At 36.6% G+C, this 7818-nt stretch overlaps 1 long non-coding RNA gene across 1 annotated transcript in view; it reads right to left on the bottom strand.

Moving 5' to 3' along the window:
- Window positions 1-5569: 5569 nt before the first annotated feature.
- The window catches only part of ADAMTS9-AS2 (ADAMTS9 antisense RNA 2), a 326599-nt gene continuing 324350 nt past the window's right edge, over window positions 5570-7818 (bottom strand). Inside the window, exon 6 of the long non-coding RNA NR_038264.1 lies at window positions 5570-6858. This is a non-coding gene — a long non-coding RNA (ADAMTS9 antisense RNA 2). The remainder of the gene's footprint in view (window positions 6859-7818) is intronic.

Raw genomic sequence — 7818 nt, 5'->3', positions numbered from 1 at the left:
TTTTAGATAGGTTTTACTAGTGTAAAACAAACATCCTAAACACCCCCAAATTTTCTGAGGCCAAAAGATATACATTAAGTTGTGACAGGAGAGCTAATACAGATTCGTAGGAGGCTGTGAAAGGAGTTTTAAATGCAAAATATTAAGAAGGATCACTCTTTTTGGAGTGCATCATTTCACCTTCTAATCTTTTAAGGAAACTGATCAGTACTAAATGAAAAGATGTGGTGGGATGAGTTGCTTCGGAATAGAAAAAGCACTTTAAATGATTAGGCTTCCTACATACCTTAAAATAAATTTACTCTGAAATTCCCATTAGATCCCTTTGAATTCACAGGGCAATATGGTCTCCTTGTTTTGTTTAACAGCTATACATTCCCAAGGGTGTTAACGACTCATCGTGCTGGAGTTGAGCTCTAATATTCTTCTTCTCTGAGGCCTTATCACTTATACAGAGTCTGTTGATTAACTGTGTATAACAATATTCCAATTGTCCAATTGAATAGGCTGTATTATATGAATCTCAATAATAACACCATAAAATCTAAGCAGAGAAAGAGAGGGTGCACTGATAAATGTAAGTGCATGCACTGAATTTCTGAAATGTATTTTCTCATTTGGCACTTTCAATGCCACAGTTTAAACACCGAAATGTTCTTTCTGTACATTTATCAATGTATAATTCTTTACATTTGGGATGCTTTCATAAACATTGGTCCATTTTGTAGGAAATTGAAGAAATCATTCTAATTCCACATTTTGGACACTTTATAATTAACCTAAAATTTTTTCATCTGGTTTAAATATTCTGCCAACTCCTCTTGCACCTTACTTCCTGGTCAATTCCCACATAAATTTCTGCAGCTGCAAACTGCCAGGCTGCTATTGATTCTATGTCTCCTTGCTAAAGGTTACTAACTTCATCAACAGTAATGCTATAAATTACATCTGTTAAGATTCTCTTATTCCTTGCTGCTAGGTCACAAGGTACCTTTGGTTTCTGGCTGCTTAATGTTGTTGACATTCATTTTGTCCATCATTCTACAAAGACTATAGAACTGAATTATTGTTGGATACTATTACCAAGTTGACACACTTTCAGCTTCTGGACCATGAGCTGGAACCAAAAATCTGACGTTTTTGGCAACAAATCCCACAGTGTATTATCTTTGGTCCAAAAAGCTTTCAAATAATGAAAGCATGACTACAGCTGTTCAATCTTATTCCAAGTTTCTTTCTGCCTTCCTTCACCCATGCACCCATGACATTCGGATGCACAGACTTGGGATAACATTCTTAGTTTTTATTCAGAAGAAAAAAATAGAGTTGTTAGAGATCTGTGTAAGCAAAAATTAAATGAAGCATCATGGCATTAATGTGAGAAGATTATAGATAGATTCGTAGATCTCAATTCGTATGCTACAAACTTTTCACAGGTTTGCCACCTAGTTGGGAACAGTCTGTGCAGTTTTCTTTTTGTACCTCTGAGGTTATTCACTGTCATGACAACTGTCACTAATTTTGTTTGTCTGAGATGGTCATGAAGCATGGTGGTGGTAGTGGGGCTGAAACTAGGAGTAGGAAAGGAGAGACAGCATAACACAAATCTGAAAAGAAAAATTGAAAACATGCGTGACATGAAAGATGTGCGGGTGGAAGTCTGTAGTATCTTTTCCCTAGAAGGGTATAAATATGCACACCTTATTAACTTTATTGAAGTATAATTTACATGAGACAAAATCAATGTATCTATTTTAAGTGTCCAGTTTAAGTTTTGATATATGCATACATATGTATAATGATCACCAAAATCAAGACACATAAAATTCCCAATTCACTAAAATATTACCTTCTGTTTCTGCCCAGGCAACCTCCCACCCTAACCCCAGCTGCCATTATATTTTCTATCAATAAAGACTAGATTTACCTGTTTTAGATCTTCAAACAAATTGAGTCATATGATGTGTAGTTTTTGGGGATTGGGCACTTTTACTCAGCAAAATATTTTTGAGATTCATTCACATTATGTTCAACAAGTGTTGATACATAGGTAGACAAGCAGTCTGTGTAGCAGACATATGTTTTTTATTTTTCTTGGGCTGATACCTAGAAAAGGGGTTGGTGAGTTATATGATAAGCATGTCTTTAACTTTATAAGAAACTACCAAATTGTGTTCTAAGATGTTTATACTATTTTACACTCTCACTACCCATGTATGACATTTCCAGTACTCCTAAAACCTCTCCAAATCTTGGTAATATCTGCCTTTTTACATTTTAGCTATTTTAGTAGGTGTGTAGTGGTATCTCATTGTGGTTTAAAATTGCGTTTCTATGGTGACTATGATGTTGAGTATCTTTTAGTGTTTACTGACCCTTATATTCTTCTGTGAAGTGTATGTTCAAATCTTTTGCTCCTCTTAAAAATGTAGTTGTCTTTATATTATTGAGTCATAAAAGTTCTTCTTATAGTCCAGATACAACTCTATGATGTTCACTGTGAATATTTTCTTTCAATCTTTGACTTGACTTATTTTTTATTGGTGCTTTGTCAGTAGCAAAAGTTTTTGCTTTTGAGGAAATCTAACAATTTGGTCTTTTTTGGTTAGTACTTTTTATGGTCTAAGAAATCCATTATGGCCAGGCCATAAAATTTTATTGTTTTAGGTTTTACATTTAGTTCCGTGATCTGTGTCTAGTTTACTTTTTGCGTGTGGTAAGGGGTAGGAACCAAAGTTAGTCTTTTTCAATACAGTCTGATTGTTACAGCACTAATGGTTGAAAAGACTATACTTTCCTCTCTGTTCTATTCAAGCTCACTGACCTTTTTCTTCTGCAATATCAAACTGTTATTGCAACTATCTAGTGAATTTTTTCACTTCGGATATTATATTTTTCTGCTTCAGAAGTTTCACTAAGTTCTTTTTTACAGTTCCCATTTCTCTCATTGCATTTATGTTTTTATACACATACTTAAACTACTGATAGCTGTTTGAAAGTCCTTGTCCACTAATTTTTATCATCTCTCTCACTTCTGGGTCTCTTTCTGTTGATGCATTTTTCTCCTGGTCATGGAAAGGACGTTTTTTCTTAATTTCTTGTGTGTCTAGTAATTTTTTTATTGCATGTTGCTAAACATTGTGTTACAGTATTGATTGTCTGGATTTAGTTTTGCTCCCTTAAAGAGCATTGTGCTTTGTTCTAGCAAGCATTTAAATTTCATGTAGATTAGCTTAATCTTTTTGAGATTTCTAAAAAGTTTTATTAGAACAAGTATGGAGTACAGTAGCCCTCCCCGCCCCCCTCCATGGGGAATACTTTCCAAGACCCCCTGTGGATGCCTGAAACTGAGGAAGGTACCCCCTGAACCTGATTGCTATTGATTGGAATGCCTCTCTGTTCATGTCTTGCACCCACAAATGTAACTCCTTTTCCATCTTAACTAAGCACTTTGCATGAACCGTGGTGGTAACTTTTGCAGTTTGAGGTGCAACAGCAAAACTAGCAAATATCTTTTTCCTTCTTCACAATTCCAAGGATAGAAGATGTGTTCTTACTGTAGATCTCAGCTGCCTCAGCATGACTTTTTTTTCCTTGTTAAGTCAAGAACTTTCACATTTTTACTTGAAGTACTTTGTGGCTTCTCTTTGGCTTATCCAAATTGCCAGCATTGCTATTCTTGCATGTGGGGGCTGTTATTAAACGAAACAACGGTTACTTGTGTATAAGCACTGCGATACTGCCACAGTCATTCTGATAACCTAAGTGACCAATGGGAGGGTAGCATATACTGGACAAAGGGATGATTCATGTTCTGGGTGGGACAGAGTGGGCTGGCTTGAAATTTCGTTATGCTACTCAGAACAGTGTACAATTTAAAATTTATGAATTGCTTATTTCTGAGATTTTCCATTGAATATTTTTGGACTGAAGTTGACTGTGGGTAACTGAAGCTCCAGGAAGTAAGACTATGGATAAGGGGGAGCTACTGTAGTTTTTATTGTAGGGACAATTTTGCATTACTACTGAGGCATGAATATTTTGGGGTCTCTACTAAATGATGCATAAATTCAATTGTGTGTCTCGACTTTGGCTGGAACTTGAATATATTTCAGTTCAGGAGGAGATCTGGTAGTTGTTCAGTTTATAGTTCTTCAGTAATTGTCTTTCCAAGTACTGTTCTTTCACTTGTGGAGTCTTACCCTATATAGTTTCATAATCAGCCAAAAACTCAAGAACATCCTTTGCATATTCTTTTATTTTTATTTTTATTTTTGAGACAGTCTCTCACTTTGTCACTCAGGCTGGAAATGCAGTGGTGCGATCTTCACTCACTGTGACTTCTGCCACCTGGGTTCAAGTGATTCTTGTGCCTCAGCCTATGAGTAGCTGGGATTACAGGTGCCTGCCACCATGCCTGACTAATTTTTTTTTTTTTTTTTTTTTTTTGAGATGGAGTTTTGCTCTGTCTCTCAGGCTGGAGTGTAGTGGCACGGTCTTGGCTCACTGCAACCTCCGCCTTCTGGGTTCAAGCGATTCTCCTGCCTCAGCCTCCTGAGTAGCTAGAATTACAGGCATGCACCACCACACCCAGCTAATATTTGTATTTTTAGTAGAGAAAGGGTTTCACCATGTTGGTCAGGCTGGTCTCGAATTCCTGATCTTGTGATCCACCCGCTTCGGCCTCCCAAAGTGCTGGGATTACAGGCAGGAGCCACCGCATCCGGCCATGCCCGGTTAATTTTTGTATTTTTAGTAGAGACAGAGTTTCACCAGGTTGGTCAGGCTGGTCTTGAACTCCTAGCCTCAAGTAACCTGCCCACCTCGGCCTCCCAAAGTGCTGGGATTACAGGCGTGAGCCACCGCACCCGACCCCTTTGTGCGTATTTCTTGAGCTCTTTCCCTACATAGCTCCTTCCTTCCCCATATTCTGCCCTGCAAATTCCAGTCATTTCAGCTTTCCCAATATTGACCCTGTCTCCTCTACTTAGTGAGGCCCCATGTTTCACCTGAGTTTTCCTTTCCAGAGTAGCAGTTCAGACAGTATCTCCAGGCAAAAAATCAGGGCAATTATAGGCATCACCTCATTTCCTTCCTTTTTCTCAGGGATCATCGTTTTGTGCTGCCTATTGTCCAAAAACAGTGGCTTCATATATTCTATCCAGTTCTCTAATCGTTTATGATAGATGGTCTCTTTAATGGCAGTTAGCCCATTACGGTCAGAAGAAGAAAAAGTATATTTTTTAAAAGTACAACTAAGGCAATTATTTTACCATAAACAGGAATAAAGGGCCCTCAGCTAAATGGTATGGTCACTTGAATTGTGACTAAGTTCCTTTGAGAGCACTAGTGAAAGTCGGGTTTTAAGATACGTGCCATAAGTACTGACAAAGAGGCCTATTTCTCAAATAGCAATTGCTTGTGTCCTACCATTGTGGTTTGCGCTACATCTGTGTAGAACTTGCATTATAATTTACTTAAAATATTTTCTTTAAGTTGACTTCCTTGTACCTTAAATTTATGTGAAAAGTAAACTATAGTATGAGTATAAATGAAATTGAGAAACAAATTCTGTTTTTATAATGTACATTAAATTAAGCAAATAACTCTTTACAGAGTGGGGGAAGAAAGAGTCCCTGGACTACTGAAGTCATCTCATATCACTTAGTACTTTTGTACACCTGGTTATACTCAAACAGATCACATAGGCACTGAAGGAAGATGTGAGATGGGTGATGGAGATGAAAAAGGAATGGACATTTTTCATTTATCATTTCTTATAGAAATATACAATTTTAAAACTAGAATAAGCTTAGAAAACATCTAATCTAACTGACTCATCTCACAGATGAGAAAACAATCTTACAGATGGACTAGCTGCTTTCCAAAGTCTCATCACTGGTTAATTAATTCAACAGGTACTTACCAACAGATACTAAGTGCTGGACACTCTTTTAGGAGCTGGGAATACAGTAATAAATGAAGCAGACAAAATCCTTATCTTCTTAGAGTTTACATTCTAGCGATGAGTAGAACCCCTTTCCTTGGGTCTGTGTTCAGTTGTGTATTATTTTAATAGGCTACAGACTACAAAGGACAGCACCTGAACACTTCAATAACTGTCCCCATCTTGTCCTTCAACACCTTTAGGAATCAAGTTCTTCTCTATGTAAAATCAGCCCAGTTTTATAATTATCTCAGTCTAACCTACCTGTAATATACCAACTCACTTCATATTTCCTAATGGAGATACATCCCATGCTTTTAAGCTTTATCCCTATAAGAAAAAAATATCGATCATTTTTACAAGAAAGTGTCCACAACCTATTACATCATTTAGAATTTTCTTGAGTGTAGGTGGCCTCTGGTTGCAATACATATCAGCCTGTAGACAGGGTCTCTTGGCTTCGTATCTCACATAGCTTTAGGATCGTGTTCCTACCCTATTTTGATCTCTCTTGGTGTATCACTTACCCAAGGTGTTTGTGTTGTTTATCCGTACAAGCTCCTATATCCCAGTCCTGTCTCCATTTAGATCTGGAAACTCTTACCCAACCAAGCCCCTTCTGGTCTGAGGAAAAGAAGACTCTACTTTGACATTCCAATCTTGAAAGCCGACTCTGTTCCTGACAGCTTCAATGTTTTTCACAGGCATAACCACCCCCAGAGAGGCAGAAAAGTTAGGATGGAAGAAATCATCAGAAATGAGTTTGGGCACGCAGTTGACTCTCCTTTTTGTCTTTAGATCAGTGGAATTAGTGAACACTGCTATGAACTCATGGAATTTTCAGGCTTCAGAATTCCCAGATGTCTTCAAGTTGTCTTTGAAGAATTCTTATTTTACAATGTGTGTTTTTCCTTAGAAAAGGAGAAAAACACAGTGTTATCTTGTTAGTGGGATAGCTAAAATTTGAGGATAACTCCCTTTTATTATGGGATTGCTATGTCTCAGGCATGATGTTATGCACTTTATCATTTTCACCTTCACGACAATCCAGTGATATATAAATTAATTATATGTGACCTCATGCTACAAATAAGGAAGTAGAATCTTGGAGAGGCCCCTTAGTTTCACTAACATCAAATAACCAGTATATGATTGGGTCAAGATCCAGTTCCATTTGCTACCAGTGAAAGCCTTCTACGATACAGCCCATTAATATCAGTGTTGGGGTAAAAATTATAAATATAAAAATATGTGTAAAACATTAAACGTAGGGTTTTTCTTCATACAATAATCTGTAGCCGAACAAACTGAGTCAGAATCTGAAATTTGTCTCAAAATCACTAAGTAAAGTGGTGATCTGAATTAGAATCCTAGTCTTTCAAATTTTATTCCAAGCTTCTTTTCAACACAGCATTTTAATTCCAGGAAAAAAAAATGATTCATATTGAATTGGCTGGAATTATTTGGTTAAAACTCGGTGTTTTTACAGTTAAAACCTAGAAGATTTTTTTATGATGCCAGTATTATAACTCTGCTCTTAAATCCTCTAAATTCAACAAATATTTACTCAAATATTGAGTGACATTCAAATATTTGAATGTCTCTTATTGATTATATTATGTTTTTTATTGCTACCTGGATATCCCAAATAAACTCTTCTATTGACAGACCAAAATAAAAGATAAAATATATTTTTTCAAACTCAAAGAAGTTGTCTTTGGTCTATCTAGACTATCCATTATCCTGAAAGATGTGTAGATATTTAATAGCTGAGAATAAAGTAGAAAATGCCTTTTTCCTCAAAGTATTCTGTTGGGATGTGCCAAATGAAAGAAAAAAATCAGTTTAAGGAGCCACATAATCATTAAACA

This window comes from Homo sapiens, chromosome 3 (genome assembly GCF_000001405.40).
Source record: "Homo sapiens chromosome 3, GRCh38.p14 Primary Assembly".
Lineage (NCBI taxonomy): Eukaryota > Metazoa > Chordata > Mammalia > Primates > Hominidae > Homo > Homo sapiens.
This window is presented reverse-complemented; position numbering and strand designations above follow the sequence as displayed.